Here is a 25,576-nt window from a genome sequence, read left to right as displayed (position 1 = left end):
GAGGATGGGAGAGCAAAAGCGATTTTCCATGATAATTCATTGTCTGTGGCACAGTTCAATCCGTGTGTCAAGCAAATCTTTAGTATACAAAAACAATGTGTTTAACACTGGTCTATCATCAAAGCAAGACAAGGAGACCGTGCATCACTCCACCTTGAAATACCTCCCTCTCTTGACTTCTAAGGTACCAATCTTACTGCGACCACTGGCCACTCCATCTTGGCTACCTCTATTGCATCTTTTCAACCTCCCAATTTCCAACATAAGGAGATCTTAGGGCTCAGTCCTGAGCCTCTTCTCTATACACACTTTCTCACCAGGTACATCTTCCAGGTCCACAGCTTGAGATACCATTTATACTCTGACAACTCTGAGATTTGTCTCCAGGCCCAGATATTTCCCCGAACTCTAAACTCAATCAACTGACTCTTCAACAACTCTACTTGGGCATGTCAGATATAAGATGACCCAACTGAGGTCATGACTTAGTCATCAGCACCACCAGCTTCCACCTGGAAAATACTAAAGCCCTCCTTCTTCTAAGTTTATGCCTTCTCAGTCAATGGCAATTTTATTCACCCAGTTGGTCAGGCCTAAACCCTCCAAGTAAACCTTGATTCCTGTCTTGCCTATATACCTCACATTGTCCATTTCATCAGCACATTCTGGTGGCACTATCTTCAGAATAAATCCAGCAGCTGACCTTTTTTTTTTTTTTTTTTTTTTTTTTTTTTTTTTTTTTTTTACCACATCTTTTACTACCATGCTGGTGCAAGACATCATTAAAGATCTACAAGGTTGCACAGCAGGCTCTCTCAGACTAGGGCTGGTACTCTCCACCAGACCCATGTAAGAGAATGACACTCCCCTGCTCAAAACCTTCCACCTCACTCAGACTCAAAGTTAAAGTTGTTGCAATGGCCATAAAGATCCTGCTTGATATTTGATGCATCTCTCTTACCACCGTCCTCATCTTCCACTCTTTTCCCCCTCATTTATTCCTCTCTAGCCATGCTGCTCCTCTAACACACCTCTGATTCTATTAGGAGCCTTTGAACTCATCATTCCCTCTACCTGGGAAACTTTTCTCCTCACTGTTTCACGTCTTTGCTCAAATGTTACCTTTCCAGTGAGGACCCTTGTAAAATTACCCTGTTTAAAATTGTAAACTCATACCACATATCTCATCCCTCTTTCTCTAGATTTAAAAGTCTTTTTGATGTATTACATGTCTACCTGTTTATTATCTGTCATCCCCCAATAAAATGTAAACTCCATGCATGCAAGAAATTCTATCTCGGGTATTCTGCTGTGTCTCCAGCACTTCACTTCACTGATAGCCTTGCACAGAAGTGGAGCTCGATAAATATTTTTTGAATGAATGAATAAGCAGACAGTAAGGTTAAGTAAACCTCATGGCCACTCAGATGATAAGTGGCTGAGCCTGGTTTGAACCAAAAGCATTCCATCTCCAGTATTTTTGACAACTATGGAATACTGACTAGATGAATGTCTTCTAGTGTTGGGCTTAGGAAAAGGATTTGTATAGTCTGGAGTGTGATGCAAAAGATGAATGTTAGTTGTATTTGGGAAGCTAGCAAACAAAAGCCCCAAAACTATTTCTAGGAGATACTCTAAAGAGTATGTGTGGCATGTATTGGGATGACTCTGCTTACAGGCTAATACTGAAATCTCATTGTTACTTTCATCATGCTGTTTTCAGATTTTCTGCCTTTGCTTCCATGCCATTATTTCTTGTCATTCCCTCAACTCTCAGCCCCTGCTTTACTATAAAAAGTATGAAGTAAAGGAATCCAGGGTTAGACAACAAAAAAGGGAAGAGATGCATTTAGGGAAAAGGTATTGGGCAGTCATCAAAGGACTTTAGATCTAAATCTAATTTGGTCACCAATTTGTCATTTGCCTTTAGGGTTGTCCCTTCCTTTCCCTGGGGTACCCCTCATTTTTATTTTGTTACCCCTCATTGCGGTAACATAAATACCTTTGAAGATCTTCAGCTCCCAAAAATGATCATTTTCTTTTTTTAACTGATAAAAGGCTCCCTTATCCTCAGTAGTCTAAAAGTGGTTAGGAAATATGGTGCAATGTTTAAGAACTAGGCTTTGGGGTTTACTACTGCGGTTCAGGTTCCGGTTCCACCACTGTGGAACCCTGGCCAAGATAATCAACTTCTCTAAGTATCATATTTCTTTTCTATAAAAGAGAGATGATGAAAATACCTATCCCTCTAGGATGTTTATGCAAAAGAAATGAAGTCATAGGTAAATCATTCATTACTGTACATAATGTTAGTGCTCAATAAACTTTTACTGTTCTTTATTTTTAAAGTTTTTACTGCTGCAGGCTTATATTCTGCATGACATTTCATAAATGTATCTACCTTCATCTTAGTTCCCACTGGATTCTGAATCTTTCCATCTTTTATCATATGACATTGCTTTTGTAGCCCTTAATGACTTTGGGCAACTTTGTCTGGACCATCTCCAGGATCAGTTGTATGCAGCTACCCCAGCTGCCCCCACATTCCTGGGCAGATGGCGGAACATTGTAACATGAGAAAGTCATGTTTTCTGATTCATTTATTGTCTGCTTTCTCGTACCCGGCAATTTGAGGATGATCTTGGCCTCGGTTCTGGAATGTCAAGGCACAGTCTACAATTATTCCTGCATTCTGAAGCCAAGAGACACAACATTGGAAGCAAACAATGCTGTAATTCAGCACAATGATAGATGGAGTTATTAAAGAAATTGTGCTGACTGCTTTGATAATTCTAGTCTCAAGTCTATCCAAATGCATCTTTCTTTCTTCTTTTCTTAACTGATATTAAGAAACTGTCTATGTTCAGGTAGTAATGACATAAAAATATGTCACCTACCTTTCAGGTTTAGTTACATCCCAACCTAATAAATAGTTACAATGCTTCAGAGAAAAGGTACTTACAATCCATTCTAAGTCATCCAAGGACATGATCCAAAGCACATTTACAAAGCAAATGTTTATGAAATATATAATCTTTGCCATGCACTTTGTTAAAGACTGGGGATATGGTAGAGGATAATAGTGACTTTATTCCTACCTTCATTAAGCCTTTGTTCTAGCAGTTTTTCTTTATCTTTTGTAATTTCCTAACGTTGCCCAGATATGAGTAGACATGACAAATTCCTACAAATTTGTTGATTATCTCAAGTAGTGATATAGCGTGTGCTGACATAAATATCTCAATTTCTGCTTGATAGAGAGAGACAATTCTATAATTCTTGGTTTTCTTGGGAACAACACTCATTTCCTTACTTTGCTCCTCACCTCCCACCCCTACACACCTCTTTCTGCTTTATTTCCCTCCTTCAACAAAGAAACAAAAAAGTATTCACCAAATTCCACTACCCATTAACAAGATGCCACATGGCACAGTAAAGGACACTAGGTCCAGAGGGCACAGCTTCAGAAATTAGCTTTTTCGAAATCCTTGGAAATAATAAAGGGATTAATGCTATTATATGGTAAAATAAAATGAGAAAGTATATACTAGGAATAATGTGAAAGAAAATAATGTCAAGAAAGAACAACATATGTCTTAAATCACCAGTGTCTGCATGGGAGAGTGCTAATCATAGAGGTAGGTGGCATCTCTGCCTGTCAGGCGGCCTTGAACGCTTCAGGGAATCTGTCATTTTTCAAAAGGTATCAATTAGTGGTTGCTCTGATGGCAGAGTGTGAACCACACCTCTCTAATGGTTAGGTTGTGTTAAAAATGATTCCTGTGAGCATAAAGCACACACAGACACGGGTTTCACAGATACCCTGGCACCAAGACAGACTCCCAAGAGAGGTGGGCATCCCGAGAAGGCAAAACCAGGGAGAGTGGGAGCAGCAGAAGGTATTAGCAACTCTAAGTGGGTCTTAAGATTTTTGAGCAGAAGTGTGCTGGGGGAAAGGATGAACTATGGATCCAAATGTATCTAATGACGAATTTAAATTTAAAACTATGCCAACAGATTTGGGTCCTACTGGGAATTAAAGAAGCATTGCTGTAAAGATTTACCTCTTAAGAAGTGTGATCGTGGAGATACCATATAGGTATACACACCTACACACAGCATTCCTGTTGCCAACAATGCTTCCCAATATGTGTATTACTCTATTTGCATAGAAGGAAATTGAGTTTGGAGACATTAAGTAATCTGATTGAAATCACATAACTAGGAAGTGACAAGTCGGGATTCAAACTCAGAACTGACCCTGGAGCATATTGACATTCAGCAAACATGCTGAAAATCACCATTGCTTCTTTCCTAGGTTTTATTTCTGATTAAACCTAGTTCTGACACTCAGAAATGACACAACTTAAAATCCAAAGGAATATCTCAGTCTCCTAATAGTCTAACTGAAAACTGGCCCAGCTCAGTCTCTGCTGAGAATAGTAAAGGCACACAAATAGAAGAAGGTACATTTCCTCAGAAGGCCTAGAGTTGGTCCCACTACATACTGGAATGAGCTACATGGATTGTATACCCAGCACCAAGTCACCACAGGTGGTCAGCCTCAGTTGCAAAATATTGATTATATTTTCTAGCAGGTGATAATACTCAAAGTAGGGGCTATAAAACATAAAATACTCTGGGCATCTAGGTGTCCAACTGTAACTAGAATCACCAGTTTTGGCTGGCTAAGTATTAAAGACCTTCCCTTCTGTTTATTTCTAGTCTAGACAACAAACAAACCGCTGATGAATAGCAAAATAAAATCTGTACTGCTGGATTTTGAAGATTATAGAAAACATCCAGTGACTTTTAGATATCTAATCTCTTGCCAGTGCATTAGCATTATTTTCCTTCCTGGTTAGCCTTTTAAATTGAATGGTGAAATCAAAGGAACTTTGGAAAAAATGTCACTGAATGTTAAAATGAGGCTTTAGGAAATTTCCCGGCACCTGGGCTAATTGCTGATTTATAGCCTTCTTGGCTAGTTAATGAAATATGTGTCTCTCATAAACTTTTAAACATGGGTTGGGCTTTGCTGGTGTGCAAGTAGTAAAAGTAGATGTGCTTTTAGAATTGAATGTACACAGAATAGATGCCCGCCCTGACTCTTCTCTGTGTGCATCCACCCAGCACCTCTTCAAGTCTGACATTTTCTAATTTAGCTGTCTAGAAATACAGGTCCCCCCTTTGCCTTAAGAAATTGCTCTTTGTTACCAGGGAAGTGGTCCCCATTCCTAGCCAAAACAGTAAGAGTATGTATGATTTCCCTAAATACATCCACTCTTTCTAGGATTCACACATTCAGACACCACACCCCATAAGCTTCCATGCATGCCAGTGCACCAACACACCATGTACATACCAACAAAATTCTCAGGGCAGCATGCTATCCCACACAGCCTCAAATCTAGACAGTGGGCCCTCTGTGCTGTCTCGAAACCAGGCAATGGCTGACTTCACTACACTCTCCTTACTTGCTAGTGTGAAGGAAGAATTGGACCACATACTTAGACAGATGGGTGATTAAATTACCAGGGGCTATTTTTGCTAGCTTTCCATATATCTCTAGATACCCAACACAATTTTTTAAAACGATCAGCATAACTGATATCAGCGAAAATAGATCAGCATCACCTCATCCCCAGAAGAGCAGTCTTGGATCTCCTGTTCTTAGTGACACATGAAGTCAGATCCACAATATTACACCACTGTGAACACACAAAAAAGGATGCTCAGCAAAAACCTGTCATTCTAGGAGACTATCAACAAGGATATTATTTTGTTTTGATATCATAGAATGCAAAGATAATACTGGCTAAAAGCATTAGATCCCTGCCTAGGTTTGATTCCTGGCTCAGCCACCCCCAAGTTGTGTCCTTGGGCATGTTATTTAACCTCTCAGTGCTTCTTCTGCATCACAGACACCATGGTGATATCTATCTCAAAGAGTTCTTTGTGATAATCAATTTTAAAGCACTTAGAATAGCATCTAGAAAGGACCTAAGTATGCAGTTGTTTGCTGCCAATATTCATTGTCAAATGATTTTTGGGATTTAATTTTTGCTTTAGTAAAATCCTTCCAAAATAATGTCAGCTGACCAGTTACAGAAAGGAGGAAAACAGGAAAAAACACAAATATAAGATATTTCATCTAGTCAGGACATACAAACCCTTGAGAGCTGGGTTGAAGTTCAATGGGTATTAGATTTAAGTAAAACCTCCTCAAGGGGACTTGAATTAATACAATGGTGCCATGCTGGGTCTGAATTCTCTTACCTATAAAATGGGCATAACACCTTGGTTGTATTTTACAAGGGTTTTAGGAGGATGAAAAAAATAGTAATATGGGCAACAATGTGTTTGCGTCTTCCCTACTAGACCAAATTATTCAGAGTATGGACTCTGTTTCATGTCCATTTCTTAGAGGCACAGAGCAAGTATGTACTACAGAGCCATTGTATAGGCATATTATCTGTATAGGAAAATGAATCAATCATTTATGTATGATACCCTCCACTGACTGATGTTTGAACAAAGCTACACAATTTCCTTGTTAACTCTATGGTGGCAAGCAGGAAAGGCAGACCTGTAGAGAATGACCTGCCACACTGATGTGTTGAGTAAACCCAAAGAGTCTGAGGCTCAGAGGAGTAGAATTACTGCCCAACCCCCAAGCCATTAACAAAGCACAATTGACTATCATCATTATTGGCACTCAAAAAGAAGAGTCTCAGAAACTATTATTTATTGAGCTTGTATGTGCCAGCACTGTTCAGCTTGTATTTTCTCATGAAATCTTTCCAATAAACTAATGAGACAATATTGTTAGGATTCCCACTTTGTAGATGGGGAATGGGAAGGCTCGGAGTGTTAAAGTAACTTGTGTAACATTATAGAGCATGGATTAGAATGCAGGAGAGTCTTGAGTCCAGGGTCTGGGCTTCCAATCACTGTGTTACACTTTTTCCTGCTGAGACCTGAACTCATCTTTGCCTGTGATAAAAACTGTAAACATGTTTTCCAAGTTTGTTCTTTATCTCCGTACATTGCTTATGGTATTTTGTGAGTACTCTTTTCATCTCATAAGAGCAAAGAGTTAATATTCCTAACATATAAACATTTTCTGGAGATAGAAGAGAAAAACTCTAGTAAGTGTCTAGAAAAATAGGCATGGGGATGTCAATAGGAAATTTAAAGAAAAATAAGTGCATAGTCTGTGAGCTTGGCCACATATATAATAAGAGAAATGCAAATTAAGGATAGAAAAATTAGAGCATCACCAAGAATAATAACTGCAAATGATCAAAACACTGCAGATATATTTAAATCTATGAGATCATAATAATACTAAGAAAAAAAGGAGACAGAAAACCTCTTATTGATCATCTTTGGAGAACCAGATCATTATTTTGAAAATGGTAAATAATAGAAAAACAAGCTGCCTTTCTTTGTGGTCTATAATCAAATACTGATAAAAGTTTCCATTTGTAGAAGTTTTTCACCAAAAATGAGGACAAAATAATAAAATTTTAAGATCAAAGTTTTGTAGCCCCTAATAAAATAGTAGATCTAGGCAATAATTATCAATGACTGCTAACATTTCAAGAGTAAGAAGACATCATTGCCTCCTGATGGAAGTATGTAGCTTTATAGGTGAAGCTACGTGTGATCAAAAACATGCAACCTAAATTACATCAAGTTGTTATCCTTAAATCTCACTTATAGGAAATCCAGGTGACTGAGAAATATGCTGTAAATAATATCAGAGGGATGAAATTGGCAACATCCAGACTGTGAGACTGTCTGTAGGACAAATAACCCCATTGTCTTCCATGTATAAATTACAAGAAAAATAACAGTGATGGGAAAACTATGGATTAATAGAGACTTAGGAGACAAGAAAGTCTATTTTAATGGATGAAACTCACTTGGATCTTGATTTACAAACAATACCTAAGAAAAAAATATAATCGATAATTTGAAAAGTAATTAGATGCTTGATATTGAAGATGTATTAATGTCTTTGATATAATATCATTCTTATATTTATAAAGAGGATATCATCTTGTAGGGATGAACACTGAACTACTTAAAGAAGTGTTACTATGGGTGGGAATTTGCTCCAATAGGGGTTGGGTAATAATACAAGACTGTCCATGAACTAGAAACCTTTGAGGTTTGCTTATGGGTAGATAGGATTTCACTACCCTATCCCCTTACTTTAATATGTTTTAAATTTCCCATAATAAAATTATAAAAAGATAACTATTTGCCAGATATAGGCATATAGCATCTGCATGACAAAGAAAGTTTACCAAAATGATCCTAATAGTCCTCCTCTCAGGGTGGTAAGATTATGCATCATTTGACCTTTTAAATTTTCCAATTTTTCTTAATAATTATTTGATGCACTTACAAACAGAAATTAAAAAGTTAATATAAAAACAATTTATTTCCATATGAGATTTTAAACATCGAAAATATTTTATTGTTTAAACAACTAGGAAGCAAATTTTGCAAAATCTTAAGATTTGCTAAAGCTGGGTGATTAGCACACTGTATTCACCATATAATTTTCCTCAACTTAAAAAATGTAATATTTTATAATACAATATTATAAAAGTTGAAAATAAAATATCTGGACTATTACCTGCTATCCCTGTCTGTTAGGTTATATTGAACACCTTTTCTCCAAAATAGCATCTAAAAGATAAGTGTGTCACGCAACGCAAAAAATATGTGTAAGAGATTCCAGGAATCTGTCCTATGGCAAGGCCTGTAAGAACATTAATCAATATATCTTTAAACATTTTGATTTTTAAAGGAATGAAAATATGGCTTGTAATTTACTGAAGGAATTTTACTTTCATACTGCTTGATGATTAGGAAAAAGTCTTAATCATTCAGTTAAAAATATTTCAAAAAACAACTGGTTGGGGCCTTAGGGACTAGCCAACTGAATCCTATTATTTCATAGATGAGAGGAGAAAGGCTTATGCAAAGCCTTTCTGACCCAATAAATAACTTGGGTCAGATGGATGACAAAAACCCAGGCCTCCAACACCTATTTCTCATCTTTCATGATCATGTTGCACAATGTGGCATTTTATAAAATGCTTTTATGATCCCAGTAAAACCACAAAACTGTATAGATCTATTATCAGAGAAGGGATATGACAAATACGTGGATATATAAAGAGTTGTGGCTTGCGTGAGGGTACCTGTGATGGAGAGGAGGGGGCTACGTCTTTATATATAGATTACTTATTATAGCAGTTTTAGGTTCGCAGCAAAATCGAATTGAACTTCAGAAAGCTTGCATATATATCCCTTGTGCTCCACCCATCCCTTCAAATGCACAGCATAACCCACCAACTGGCGTGCTACATTTCTTACAATTGATGAACCATTACACTGACACACAATTATCCCTCAAAACCCATAATTTACATTAGGGTTCATTCTTGGTGTTGTGCCTTCTATGGGTTTTGACAAATGTATTATGATATGCATCCAGCATTATAGTATCATACAGAGTAGTTTCTCTGCCCTAAAAATTCCCTGGCTCCATCTATTTATCCCTCCCTCCCCACAAGCCCCTAGCAACTACCATCTCCAAAGTTTTTTTCTTTTCCAGAAAGCCATGTTGTTGGAATCGCATAGCATACAGACTTTACAGATTGGCTTTCTTCACATAGTAATACACTTTTAAGGTTCCTCCATGTACTTTTATGGCTTGATAAAAATTTCTTCTTAGCACAGAATAATATTCCATTGTACAGATGTACCACAACTTATTCATCCATTCATCAAAAGAAGGACATGCTGGCTCCTTCCAGTTTTGGGTAATTATGAATAAGGCTGCTGCAAACATCCATGTGCAGGTTTTCTATGTGGACATAAGTTTTTCACTCATTTGTGTAAATACCAAGAATATGATAGCTGTATCATATGGTAAAAGTAGGTTTAGCTTTGTAAGAAACTGCCAAACTGTCTTCTACAGCAGCTGTAAAGAGGGGCTCAATTTTAAAAATGATCACCTAAGTGAAAATCACACACAAACGATATTAATCCTAAAATATCTTAGGTAGGCAGCATGCTGAGGCTGATATTCTGTACCTCAAAAGCCACTCAACTGTAAGATCTCTGAGGTCAGGAATTTTGTAGTGCTTGCTGTATTCCCAGTCCCTGAAACAGTACTGGAACATAGTATGTTCTCATTCAATGTGTGCCAGATAAATAAATAAATAAATGCAAAGGAAAAAAATCTTCCCTCCAGTTTTGCAGCAGAGAGTTCTTAGGTCAAAAACAAGTGAAATGAAGACTTTTCTTAGGGACTATATTGTTTGAAAAATAAGTATTTTTAAACAATAGAATCTCATTCAGGCAAAGTCCTCCCCTATAAAAAGTGTGAAGGCCTGGGACAGAGAAAGAAAAGTAGAATCTCTTCTCTTACTCTGGGGCATGGGCTCACCGCATAGAAGAGGGGACAAGATCTTCTACATGATTTAAACAGTTTTCTTTTATTTGCTATGCACGTAAAGTTGAATTTACATAAATTAAATGCACATAAGCTGAGATTCCACTATAATTGCAAAACCATTGCATTGGAAATAAGCCTTCATTGAAATCACATTAGAAACCAGAAAGATTAAATTAGATTTTGAAGCATATTTAACCCCATCAAGAGGTAGATTATAGAAATTTTATAAAAACACATACACACAGCAGGCCAGAGTGCCTGGCTAGGAAATGGAACAGCCTCATCACCTCAGTATGGAGGGGAAAGCTGTCATCTCATATCAAGGCATGGATGATGAATCACCCAAACCTTAGAACTCTTGCTCTACAAACTTAAATGGCCGTGCAAACAAACAATTCACCTATTTACCTGGCCTCAGTTTCCTAAACTGTAGAAGGGGCATAATATTACCTCTATATATGATTGTTTAATGGAGACAGACTACATATGATGGGTCTAGCTCCCTGGTTCTCAATTCTCAAAAAAAACCAAACCATAACAATCCCTTAAAACCTAGGTGTGAAGTAATCGGAATTTATTTCAACCTTGTTACCACCACAGGTTTGCTAATCCTGAGCCTTCCCAAAACCTTATGCTTCCCATCCTCAGCACACACTAATTTACTATTTAATATGTCTTAAGAATCCACAGAGTCCTATGAATTACATAAATGTGACTTAGGTGGCTGGCTATTATTTTTCCCTCACCCTTCTTACCAGGCAAATGTGAAGCTAAATTAGTCACTTATCATAAAGTTCTCTGAAAACATTAAAGTCTAAAGAAATGCTTGATAATTGTTCTTAGCCATCTGGTGCCAAGTGATGCTCATGAACTTACACGAGCCATTTGGTAAAAATCCAAAAATGTCTATCTTAATTTTACATCTCACTTACTGAAAGTTCCAAGTTGAGAAATTTCTAAGAGGAGAAAATGGTTTATAAAAAGGAAAACAAATGGGCAAATCTTTGAACTCATTCACATAAGAAGGCTTACAAAAATCCACCTCTTGTAATCCCAGCACTTTGAGAGGCTGAGGTGGATGGATCACTTGAGGTCAGGAGTTCGAGACCAGCCTGGCTAACATGGTGAAACCCTGTCTCTAACTAAAAATACAAAAACTAGCTGGGCATGGCAGCACGTGCCTGTAGTCTTGGCTACTCAGGAGGCTGAGGCAGGAGAATCACTTAAACCTAGGAGGCGGAGGTTGCAGTGAGCCGAGATCACGCCACTGCACTCCAGCCTGGGTGACAGAGCAAGACTCTATCTCAAGAAAAAAAAAAAAAATACACCTCTATCACTGCTTTTAACAAATGAAACTAAGGTGACATCACACTGTTAACCTCCACAATCCATGTGCACATACATGGTAAAGGATTAATTGTGACTGCTTTTCTTTCTCAGTTCTTTCACATGACTAGCTACACATCAGGGCCTCTCATATGGAGAAGAGTGCTGGATCTCCTGTGGTCTCTCTTCTTCCTAGACTGAGCCACTAAAAGCAGACATCCCCTTGTCTGCATTATTATAATAGCCTTTCAACTGGTCTCTACTCAATGCATCTCTGGCTGATTCCAATCCATTGTCTACCTTATAGATGAAAAGAGCTTCTTAAAAATAAATGATTTCCACTTCTCTGTCCAAACTTCCCAAAGGCTTCCCACTGCCCTTAGAATGAAATCCCAAATTCTCAACATTGCTTAGGAGGTCATCTGAGACCTGGCCCCTAGCTACATCACCAGTGGCATCTTGTACCACACCCTCTCACCTACTCAGTGTGCACCAGCCACACTTGGCATCATTTCTTTTACTGTGAAGTGTCACTCTCTGTCTCGTCTTAGTGCCTTGAGAATACTGGAAATAGAAGATACGCACTTTGACCCACAAGCTCTCCAAAAGAAGTATGAAAACAGATTTGAGGGTAATTTGCGACTTTCTCTGAGCACCTCCTCTCTTCTTTTTTCTCATTCATAAGGAGGTTGTGTCCATCTGCCCATGGATGTTTTAGAGCTTGTTTAATTTCCTTCTTTAATGTAATAGTGTAAATAGATCCAATTTGCTAAACATATTTTTTTCGTGTTCAAATATTGTCTCTCTCATTCTTCTCTCCTCACCCCAGATCTCAGACACTTCACAACACATTTACCCTCACAATTTATATAAGTTGGCAGTCTGGATACTAAACTCACTTTTCAAGCAGGGTCAAATCAGCTGAGACACCTGCCGGAAGTAGCTAGAAGAACATTACTTATCTTTCAATGATTTTATGACAACTTCCAGTTTCTGAAAATCACTGGATATTACTCTAAAAATAAAACATTACTGATAATTACTCCTTAGAATGGAACAAATCATTATATTAATTTGAAAAGTTATCTTGGATATGGGAAAGAGAGTTTTTTTTTTTAAGTTGCCAGTGTACATGAAAAAGCTCATTTCTGAGAGGAAATAGGGAATAAAAAATTGCTTCATGCTTTCTGAAATTCATTTTGCTTATGCTAATAACAAGTCCAACACTATACAGTCCCCGAGAACCCTCAGAAAGAATTACAGAAAGTGTGTCAGGAGGAGAGAAAGGAAAGAAAATTATAGGTGAGTGAAAAATAGGTTTCTAATTTTGGAAGAATATTTGGGATGCTATGGACTCCGAACCCAATACAAATAAGTTAAAGTAGAAATCTAATGACTATAATTCCAAGGGAAGAAATATAATAAAGCCTCATAGAGGTCAGCAAAACAAAATTAAAGGTAATATTAGCAACAGTAATAATAAAACCTAACTCCTATTCATATGTATTGACCCATTTCTTTCTCCTAACAACTTGTGAGGTAGGTTCTCCTATAATCTCCACCTCACACATGGGAGAAACAATCAACTTATCCAAGGCAGCAGGGCTGAGATTTGAGTCAAGGAGGCTTGGCTCTGGAGTCCACACTTGTAACCACAGCACTGTGCTGCTTCTCACACCTTAAAAGAAGTCAGATGCAAAGGGATACCTTAAATATTATACTTTGTCACTGACCCCCAAAGCAGAGGTGAGTTATCTGCTGCTCATAATGCAGGATAGAAACTCAGAATATTGTGTAAATAAATAAAACTAAGTCCTAGAGGTCTTCTGACATATGTCAAATGATTCAGGGTCTCCTGATTCGTAACCCATAGTTGTCCTAACAAGCCCTGGTACCTAATTTGGCAAATACCTATGGAGTTCCTTTGAAACATTTGTCACAGTGCTGACAAATGAGTCAGACATAGGGCAGTAAATGGATTAGGAAAGTAAGTACAAGACATTGTGGGATCACAAATGAGTGGATAACACACATCTGAGACATCAGAGAGAGGGGCATGAGATGGAGGCTGAAGGGGGTTTGGTTAGATGAAAGCATAAGAGGGGAAGAGAGATTAAGACCATTTCAGGCAGAAGAAACTACGGGTAAGAAAGCTTGGAAGAGAGAACACTGTACTTTCAAGGAAATTTATAAATTCCTATATGGATGGATGAGTTGCATATTTTGAGGACAGAGCACTCTAAACAATCAGAATGGAAAAATACATTGGGATGAGTCACACAGAGCCATCCAGGCTACATTAAGGAGTTTAAACATATAAAGCTGTCTTTAGGGTTGAGGGAAAATAAAGACTTCTAGCTCAAATGGCTTTCTTCTCCTTCCCATCCCACTCCACTTACCCACTGCACCATCTCTACCAAACAGAAATCAGAAAAGAACCAAACAAAACTGAGTCACTGAAATTAGCATAGAACCTGAAAGGGAGAAGATGAAGTCAACAAGATGAGAAGTGAAGGAGGAAAAAAGAATGTTTCCAGTAGAAGAGAAATGTTACTTCACAAGAAGGTAAGCAACTACAGGGTAACTCTGAATGATGAGATCAAAGGACCTATCAGTTTTGTGTTAAAGCCAGCTAGCAGGAGCCACCTGTCAAATTTTCAGGAATTTCATGAGCTGCTTGTTAAGTCATTAGTAACTTGAAAGGAGCCATATTGGGAATACTCACACCATGAACATTGACAAATGCTCTAAAATAGGGCTTATCTTTCTTGAGAGGTGGGTTACTAGCAAGCACGGCCTATACTCACTGTTTGTTGCTGTTATTATTGGAGACAAATAAATAATACAAAGGTTCCATTTTTTAAACTCTCCCTTACTCTATGGACTCTTTATGTATTAGGAAGTGTAACACAAACCTGAAATAATAGACTGTTGTCTAATTTCTTAGCCCACTGCATTGGTGCTGGCTTAACTCACTCACAACAAGGCTAAATACTCAACTTGATCAACCCTCTTATCCATGAGTTTCTACTGATCATTGTAGACCTACAACTCCACCAAATGTATGAAATAAAAAACAGTACATTTGATTAGGAAAGCCAGTAAGACTTGATAGAAATAATATCAATGCTTTAACTATTCTTAAAGTAAATACAATTAGGAGTTTTATATGGCTGTTTCAAAGAAATGAAATTATGAATGTGTCATAAAGATATATTCCATATATTTGATAAATACCCAGTAAATTTCATTATTAATATGTATAACAGATTATACTTATTTAATGCTATATGTATCAGGCATCCAATCTTATAACAATCTCTACTTGGTTTTAACTATTATCTCCATTTTACAGCTGAGAAAATTCAGGCTCATACATTGAATAGCTTGCCCAAATTTTACAGTGATTAAGAGACAAAAGTTCCTAGCCACTGATTCTACAGCAAAAACTGTTAAATCCTATACATAACTGCTTGCTAAGATACTTTACTGCCATTAGGTAATGTTACGAAATGCAAAGAGTAAAGTCGTGTAATTTAAATTTTTTTAATTAACATTTTAAAAATTAAACATTAATGTTTACTAGAAGGTGTGCATCCTGGTTTACTCTGGTTTTCTGGCATAAAAATTGGTAGTGCCAAGGACTGGAAAGGATTAGTTTTCTTTACTGCAACAGAAACTCTTAAATGGCCAACAATATACCAACTCGTCAAATTAGACAATGTACTTCATTCCTTTTATAAAATGTTCCAAATGGTGCCCATATTATGATAAGCATTGGAAACTACCAGATTACTCTCCTGTATTTCACATATTTCTGTTTAGATGTACATCTACCAAGAGGCAACTGTGTTCATTCCCAAACTTGTTTACTTCACTATTCTTGTTTGTAAAAGCACATGTTTCTACATTATTTATTATAAACACTATGTAAATCAATAAAATGTGTGGAAAAAGAGAATTGCTGTTTCCATGGAGAGTAAGTTGAAAAACATTAGTAGACATAAATCTATAAACGGCAGAAAATATTAACTTGCACAAAAGATATATCTATAAGGAGGAATAGAAGGTAAGAGCGGGAATGACAAAAAAACAAAGATCAACTACTTTCAGTTGCCTAGGAGGGGGGATTTGTGGGAAAACAGAGAGCTTCATGGAAGAGATGTTTGATTTAACTTTGAAAAATGACTAGCATTTTGGAAAGTGGAAATAATACACATTTAAGTTAATATGACTAAATATGAACCATTAGTAAAAATCTAATTTAGAAGAGAACAATATGCATATTTTTATACAGAATTATTGAATTGGAACAGAATTATAAATGAAGAAAGATCTGCTAGTCTTAGTAGCTAACTATACAGAGACTTTAACCTGAAACCATGGATGAGCTGCTAGGGGTTCCGTGAACCTTCTGCAATTTATGTAAAGTTGTTTTTCACATTTTCCTAGACAGAGGGCCCACAACTTCTGATCCAAAATGGATTTAAAACCACTTAACCTACAGACTTATTCCAAGGTAAATTGATGGGCTCATGAGGTAGCTACTGCCTGTTTCCTAAAATGAGGATTAGAAATTAGTCATAATTGCCGGCTTTATTTGCTTTTAAGAATTGGTAGCAGACAGCAGCAGTAAGGGGCAGTTACTGTGAAAAGCAGAAAAATAATGCTAGGCAGAAAAATAGAGTGACTGTATATCACATTCAGAAAAGAACTTAATTAGACCTCAGCCTGTAGACAAGGACTCTGTAACACAGAGATCAAATGTCAAGGGGAAGAGATATGTTCTGTGATGAAAAAAGAACATAAGCAATAGGATACACATTTTCTAAAACATGGTTAACAATTCTTTCCAGGGTAAAGAATTTAAGTCACCCTTATGATATTGGATACACTAAAATAATGCATCACTAGAGACTCAACAAATTAAAGATAAATGTCAAAGTGTTGCCATTTCATATACTCAACATCACTGAAAGGGGATTAACTCTGTATACACAGATATTAGTGGGCAAGAAAGAGAAACATAAGTATCTGTCTTCTAAAGAGACTTACGTGATACATATGCCTATTCTAACAAGCTCTGAAATCCTACTTTTATTAGTGTGCCTCAAAGTTGTGAACAGTTAAGTATAGATCATTAGTCAGTGCATGGTTAATTACATATCAGTATTTCTTGAAGATTAAAACATCTGCAGTTTAATTATCTTCACATAGCAGACCCCATTTTCTACTCATTCAAGTTGGAACAATGTAGTCACTAAATAGATTGTTCTAGATTAAAATCAGCTTGATAGTATTTCACAAAGCTAATTTAAAAGGAAGAACAAAACACACCTGCTTCACATCTCAGGGAGAAACAAGCTCCTGCTTTATACCTTTCTGCATTCACATGAATGCCACAGCAAAGCATTCGCCCTGTAGTCCTGTTTTTCCTTCACTACTTTTACATAGCTATCACAGTTTCCACACAGCTAGCTCTTCAAATTCTTCTTTTCAAATCTGCAAATTTGCTAAACTTTCCATTTAAATGATTTCAATTCTGGTTTTGAGGTCCTGTCCCTACACATAAGCAGATCATCTTCAGATTTGGATCACTGCGCATAATTACCAACACAGTATTATTCTCCTGCTTTCTTTTTTTTTTTTTTTTTTTTTTTTTTTTTTGAGGCAGAGTCTCACTCTGTCACCCAGGCTGGAGTGCAGTGGCATGATCTCCACTCACTGCAACCTCCACCTCCCAGGTTCAAGCAATTCTCTGCCTCAGCCTCCCAAGTAGCTGGGATTACAGGCGCTTGTCACCACACCCAGCTAATTTTTGTATTTTTAGTAGAGACGGGGTTTCACCATCTTCGCCAGGCAGGTCTTGAACTCCTGATCTCGTTATCCACCCGCCTTGGCCTCCCAAAGTGCTGGGATTACAGGAATGATCCACCGCAACCAGCCTCTCCTGCTTTCTTTTCACAGTCCTAAGTGATCCCTTAAAGGAGAGAACATTCCTCAGAAGGGAGGAAAACATGGCAGTGTCTTCACACTGTCCTAAATTTAAGACGGAGAAACCAGAAAAACAATTTAAAATATATAAATGGTGCTTGGAATAATTTACTTGATTACACGTCCTGCAAGTATTTTCCTTCATGTTTTTGTAATGAAGCTGACCATGAAAAAACAAATTTACATTTGTCATCTGTGTAATAATGAGCTGAGCTCATTTGGTGAGGAAAACCTACAATTTAATTGCTTGATTTAAATTTGGCTAGAATGCATACTGAAACATTACTCTTTTAATTATGTAAATTTATAATTGAAAAGTTAAATTTACAAAGGCAATAACATTAATTATTTACTTGCCCATTAAATTTGGGTATATATTACAAAGCTAATTGGCTTCATAAGTCTGCCAAAAAATTAAAAACAATTTGTTCACTGATTTATACAGGAGGGCACACATATTATCAGCAGGTTACTTGTGTGTGTGTGGTCTTTTTGGTGGATTAAATGAAAATATGTGTGAAGTACTTTCTTTATTTACATAATACTCCACATAGGTTCTTTCTTCCTTCTTTGTTTAAAACACATTTTAAAGAAGAAAGGAAGAGAGGCAACTAACATTTGTTTTATTTTATTTTTTATTATACTTTAAGTTCTAGGGTACATGTGCACAACGTGCAGGTTTGTTACATATGTATACATTTGCCATGTTGGTATGCTGCACCCATTAACTCGTCATTTACATTAGGTATATCTCCTAATGCTATCCCTCTCCCTCCCCCAACCCCACAACAGGCCCCAGTGTGTGATGTTCCCCTTCCTGTGTCCACGTGTTCTCATTGTTCAACTAACATTTATTCAATGCTTTCTCTGTATCCTGCTTTCCATGTAAGATCTCATTTAATCCCAGAACTGAAAAAAATACTAACTGGCATTATCTCCTTTTTAAAGATGAAGGAACCAAGGTTTAAGAAGATTTGAAAAATTTGCCAAGGCAAGCTGCAAAACAATCAAATTTAGGACTTGCCCAGAAAGAACTAAGATTTTATCAATTTTGCTATACTGTTTTAGTACTTGTTACTCCCAGCAGATTGAACTGCTGACACATTATGATTCCCTAAGAAGACCTGCTTTAACGTCAACATCAGATTTGTAATGAAAATTTTATTCACAGCCCCATTTGGATATTGGCATAACAAAAACAATAGAGCATAATAAAAAGCACAGAAATCACAGATTAGTATGTACCCCAATGACCTAAATCCAGAATAAGAGAAGGGAAAACAAATCCAGCAAATAAACTTGCACCTTATCTTTAAAGTGAGATTCAATATCAGGCAGGTCCCTCTTAGACTGTAACTCAACAAGGGGGCTTAGAAATTAAAGATTAAAATGCTCATATTACTATACTCTTGGGCATATCGTGAAGATCAAATATGGAGTAAGATAAACAGTTATGAAAATTATCAAATATTATGCAAATGCAAATTAGCACAATTAGAGTAAGACTGTCTTACACCTAAAGAATTCCCATGGAATTAACCCTGAGTTTATATGAAGATTACAATTTAGCTATATTCTCATGTAACCTAAGAGTCTTACAAATTCTTTAATATGTAGTAAGTTTAACCAGTATGTGGTCCAGAGAGAAATTTAATTAGTATGTGACTTTAACAGGGACAACTAGCCCAAAGTTATTAATTAATACTAAGTAAAATATTCTAAAATAATAATGTTTCCAAAAGGGCTTGGGTCATTATATTCATTAATATTTTAAGCAAGTTTTTATACATAGGAAAAAACAAAATATTAAGCATATACTTCTGCATGCACACTTTAAATAATACAGCTAAATTGCCAATGGTTATAGAGCAATTAGGGCCATATTAATATGTAATGAAAAGCAAAATTCTGCATTTTTAAGAGAGATTTAAATTATACTTGAATGTCTGCAAGTCTATTGGGAAGTAAAACAATATTCCAATTTCCAGGTGACTCATGGCAACATTTGCAAATGTGAGCTGATGATTTTAGAGATTTTCTACAGTAGTTCTAAATCTAATATATCATCATAAATTATCTTAGACTGCCTTGGAACACTTCATATATGATTCATTATGATGGAGTTTGGCTGGGTGCTGGGGGCTGAAACCAACAAATTAGGTCCAAATTACACTTTGATTCTTTTAAATTCAATGTTTAAGGGATATCGGTCTATTGGTCTGTGGGAAGACACAGGCCATTTTCAAAAAGAAAAAAGATCATGTACATTTTTATATCCCTTATACCATTAAAATGGAAACATTTAATTTTTTATTATGTGTTAAACTGAGAAGAAATAAAGACATGAATCAATGCATCCAGCATTTAAGTACTAAGAGGATTTTCAGACCCGGAAACCTCATATGACATAATTCTTTGTAATGTCTTGTAATGTCAAAGTAATTCATCACCATCATCCACAGTAGAATAGCATTAGTCAGCATCAGGACTGGGCATGGCACCCCATGGGCCAATCTTTCATTTTCATTTATGAAGTCTGGAGTAGTAGTGGGGCTTAGACATTACTCTTCATCCAACTCTTCTAATTATTCTGATATCATGGGAATCTGGATTTGAAATACTAGTAAAATGTTGAGATTCAACTAGCAGTAGCTAAAATTTACTGGAAGATCAATCCAATTAATGAATCTTGTATACTGATTACTGTTAAGAATTGCATAAAAACCTTATAGCAAATTATAATAAAAGCGGAAGATATGGCTTTGGGGTAAATTATTAAACCACATTTTACTTGTTAAAATCTAAATACTGTGTAATCCAACACGATTTTGCCTCTTTTGAAGGATAAATTTTTATGAGGAGATAAAAGAAAAAATATGTATGTCAATTTATATGTGTGTGTTATGTGTATATTTATATAGTGTGTATGTATGTGTGTACACACACAATATAAGTATATACGCACACACCCAATCATAGGTTTTCATTGAATTTCAAAATAAAATGCTACTTAGAAGCATGTAATACCCTATATAAACTATAATTGCTTTATGAAAGAGAGATAGAACAAATGGTTTATTTTACCAGACAAAGCACCAGCCTGGCAGAGAAGCCACAGACTTGTATGTGCTTCTCAGCAAATAGTCATCAACACTGGTTTATGCAAGTGACTTTGGAGACATTTCTCAGAAACTGCTAGAATTTGGATGCATACATCAGCTGCTTGAGTCAACCAACATCTCACAACATACAGAACTATTTTACTGAAGAAAGACATTTGGACGACAGACATTTCGAATAAGGAACAATAAAAAATGATGAAAGATTTTTTTCAGAAATATTGAAAAATTCTAGGTAATCAACTAAACAATGTCCTTTCTACATATTGCACATTCTCCCACATGAGAGAACAATCAAGAAATCTTTATTTGCATCTGGAGGGCAAATTCATCACTGGATGGAGTTATAACAGTTTAGTCAATGGAAGCTGGTATAAAACAGATGATGTTTTAAATGTTTTGATACATTAGCAACCCTCTAATTTTCTTTCATTTTAGGTTACCAAGGCAACTCTTTGGAAATACACCTCAATGATATTTTTTATAATTCTGGCCACAAAAATAAAAAAAAAATCAATCAGAAACATTCTTATTTCTGTAACATTTGTTCCACAAATATGTATCAAACATGGGCTAGGGCTACTCAAAGTCCTAGTAATAATGGACCTGCAAGTGTAATGAAGGGAAGTAAAAATGCTATGAGTCCATAAACTCTCATTGCTTTTATAACAAGTACTACCACCAACTCACAGCTTCTCTCTCTCTCTCTCTCTCTCTCTCTCACACACACACACACACACACACACACACACACACACACAGCTGGAGACACCAGTGAATAGATTCTCCTATACGTTTATAGTTATTGATATTGGAATTTAATCAAAGAATTTATGATTCCACTCTAAGATTTTCGTTGGATCTTTTATTATCCATTACATTTTCTATCTGACTGAAAAAGTCTCTGAAAATATAGAACTTCCATGCAGTTTGAGTTACAGCCAGAAGCTACAGTGTCTTATAGTAAATATACCAAAGAAAGCAATAAAGAACTGGTGAAAAATGCTGTGTAATTTAAGCAATAAAAGTACATTTACAGAAATGGCACAATAGTAGCCTTCCAAAGCTTTCATTTTCAAATACAAAAGATATAGACATCTATGAGTAAATCAAAGGGGCAATAACGATTCATTAGGGGAGAACTTCTCTTGTTAAGGCAAAGGTATATTTCTAGATTCTGGGTGTCACTTCAATGTTAAACAATATTCTCTGCACCAGACTCACAGCTTTCCTTAGCTTCTTAGTTTCCTAGTTGACTCAGGACATACCAGTGAGGTAAGGAACCTACAAGAAATATGACATTTCACTGCATGTACCCAAATAGGTTTCAATCTGTGTGCCTTAAATTGATTAGCTGGAGATGAAGCTTCGCCAGGCCAGCCCACTGTCTGCTCTTGCACTTTATTTTCAGGAAGGCAGTTAGTGTTCAGTGCTTTTCCTCTGTCACAGTCAAACTACAGAATACCATAGATTGGGTGATGTAAACAACAGAATTTTATATCTCATGGTTCTGAAGTCTGGAAGACCAAGATCAGGGTGCTAGTATAATTGAGTTTTGGCAATTGCCCTCATTCTGGCTTCTCACTGTATCCTTAGGTAGCAGAGACAGAGATCATCTTTCTCATGTCTCTTCTTATAGGTGCACAAATCCCATTCATGAGGGCTCCACTCTCCAGGCCTAATAACATCCCAGAGTCCCCACCTCCAAATACCATCATATTAGGGGGATTTAGGCTTTGACAAATAAACATGTAAATGTGGGGAGGGCACACAAGCATTTGGTTCTCAGCAGCATCCAAAATCAAGGTACGGTAGGTAGATCATGCTAGTCTTTGCCTTAACTGCTAGTGTATACACCACTTTGAAATATCAAAGGTATTCAAATAAAATTTAAAAATGCATGTATTACAAATCAATAGAGTTCATCTTTATATCTTCCTTCACCCATTACAGGTTGCCCAATTAGTATTTGTCAAAAAATGATTTACCAATTGCTAATTTGTCTATTTTAAAACCTGGAATTCTGATCTAACATGCATGAATAAAGAAAAACACTACTGCAATAGGGAAAAGTGATGCTGAGTAATTTGACATTGCAATGATAATCATTTCTGGATTTCTTATAACGAAAGGAAGAGCTCCTATAAGAAATAAAGATGTCTAGTGCCACCCACCATATGCTAAAAAATGAAAACACAAAACACATGCATACACATACATGCAATGCACTAGAGACATCTACTGATGAGTTCAACATATTCCTCATCTCATGTCCAATTAAAGTTTTGGACATTCCCAGGATTCCCAGGAGATACTACTCTGATAAAGTATAAAACACCATATGCCTTTAGATGGTTTTTTTTTTTGTTTGCTTGTTTTAAGCCAATCCTAGTTTTTGTCAGCTTCTTGAGGGTATTAAACAGAATGAATGTTTTTTGGCTCCAAATTCATGGAGCTAACACATACCACCATTTAACATAACAGCACTCACATGAACAACTCTGAACAAACAATTGTTTTAGATTACCACCACCAGCCTCATATTTTTGTCGTTACTTTGCAGTAGTATGTCACTATATCATTTGAAGACTGTTCTGCCTCAATAGGGGTCTAATGAAAATTAGACACAAGTGGAAGAGTAAAATACACATATAGCCTATGACATATATATGAATATATGCATTTGTAAGTGGGACAAAAGCAATATTCCTGTACCAATTGAAAAGTACAAAGAAAAAAATTTTGACAATGTTTTCACTGCATATATTAACATAAAAACAGCTGGGTATATTAGCTATCTGTTTCTGCATGACAAATTACTACAAACTTAGTGGCTTAAACACACATTTATTATTTATTATTTATAATAATATATTTATTACTTGTAAGTTTTTACTGAGAATCTACTATGAGTCTAGACCATATTAGGTGCTAGTAAAGGATTAAATAGGCCGAGCACAGTGGCTCATGCCTGTAATCCCAGCAATTTGGGAGGCCAGGGCAGGTGGATCATTTGAGGTCAGGAGTTCAAGACCAGTCTGACCAATAAGGTGAAACCCCGTCTCTACTAAAAATACAAAAATTAGCCAGCAGTAGTGGCACATGCTTGTAATCCCAGCCACTTGGGAGGCTGAGGCAGGAGAGTCACCTGAGCCTGGGAGGCAGAGGTTGCTGTGAGCCAAGATGGCGCCACTGCATTCCACTCTGGGTGACAAAGTGAGACCCTGTCTCAGAACAAAACAACAACAAAAAAAGGAATTAAATGGCAAGATGAGTTATAATAGTAAGCATCTGTTTATGAGATATGGGGAAATGCATTTGGGTAGAGGAATCTGACACATAAACAAATAAGCAGTCAAAGAGTACAGCACACATTTATGGTCAGGATAAGATGGCATAGATCATTTCTCCATGCCAAGCACAACCATTAACTCCAGAAATGTTTCAAGAGACAACCAAAAAGAACTGTCATAGGTGATAAAAAGACGGGGCTAGCTGACTTAGGATCCCAGGTTGGGAGGAACAGCATAGCAACCAGATGTATTGTCTCTCTTTTATCAAAAAGAAGAAGGCTATGCAGATCTGGTGTTTACCAACAACCCCAAACTTGGGGGCATGAGGAGGGAAGGCAGCCCAGGTGGTCACATCCCTTCCTTGGAATTCAATGGGAGTCTTATGACAACATCTGGCAAACCCAACACAACCAGCAAGAGGATCATTTGGGAAGCCAGCCAGACATAAGCTTGTAGGAGAGGCATGAACTTGAGGCATCTCTTTCCTGCCAAGAGATACCAAGGTGGGTGGGCAGAGCTGGCAAGAGAGACTCAGCTACAGTAAGCAGCCTGAACCAGAAAACCTATTTGCCCCAAATTATTAAATTATTAAGCCACATTTCATTGTTAAAACAAGTTGAGCATAGGTGAAAAAATACTATGTAATCCAACATGGTTTTGCCTCTTTTGAAGTACAAACTTTATAAGAGGAGATTGTGAAAGAGAATGTGTGTGTGTGTGTGTGTGTGTGTATACACATGCAACATAAATAAATATATATATATATATATACACATACACACAACCATAGGCTCTCATTTAATTCCAAAATAAAATGCTATTTAAAAGCATGTGTAATACTCTATATAAACTATAATTGTATTATGAAAGAGAGATAGAACAAATAATCTATTTTTCTAGACAAAGCACCAGCATTGCAGAGAATCCACAGAATTGTATGTGCTTCTAAGCAAATAGGCATCAACTCTTGTTTATTCAAGTAACTTTTGAGAAATTTCTCAGAAAATTCTAGAATTTGGGTGCATATATAATCTGCTTGAGTCAACCAACACCTCACAATATATAGAACTATTTTACTGAAGAAAGACATTTGGACAGAAATAGCCATTTCAAATAAGAAACAATAAAAATACTATGAAAGAATTTTTCAGAAATACTGACTCTGTGATGGGTGGTCAGAACAAAATAAAGGGAAACAATAACTGGAAAAGGCCCACATTGAGAAGCTGCTTTATTCCTGTGGACTCAAAATACTTCTTCTTTGCCTAGAAACAATGGAGTAGGGGGTGCCTGTAAGAGAATACCACAATTCCCTCCCAACTCAGAGAAATATCTGGCAGCCTGACCTGGGGAAACTC

General features: G+C 36.6%; 1 protein-coding gene across 4 annotated transcripts in view; it reads right to left on the bottom strand.

Annotated features, from left to right (window-relative positions):
• Positions 1 to 25,576, bottom strand: part of SGCD (sarcoglycan delta) — a 1,039,957-nt gene that overhangs the window by 644,200 nt on the left and 370,181 nt on the right. The gene's annotated exons all lie outside the window — the stretch shown is intronic.

Source organism: Homo sapiens, chromosome 5 (assembly GCF_000001405.40).
Source record: "Homo sapiens chromosome 5, GRCh38.p14 Primary Assembly".
NCBI lineage: Eukaryota > Metazoa > Chordata > Mammalia > Primates > Hominidae > Homo > Homo sapiens.
This window is presented reverse-complemented; position numbering and strand designations above follow the sequence as displayed.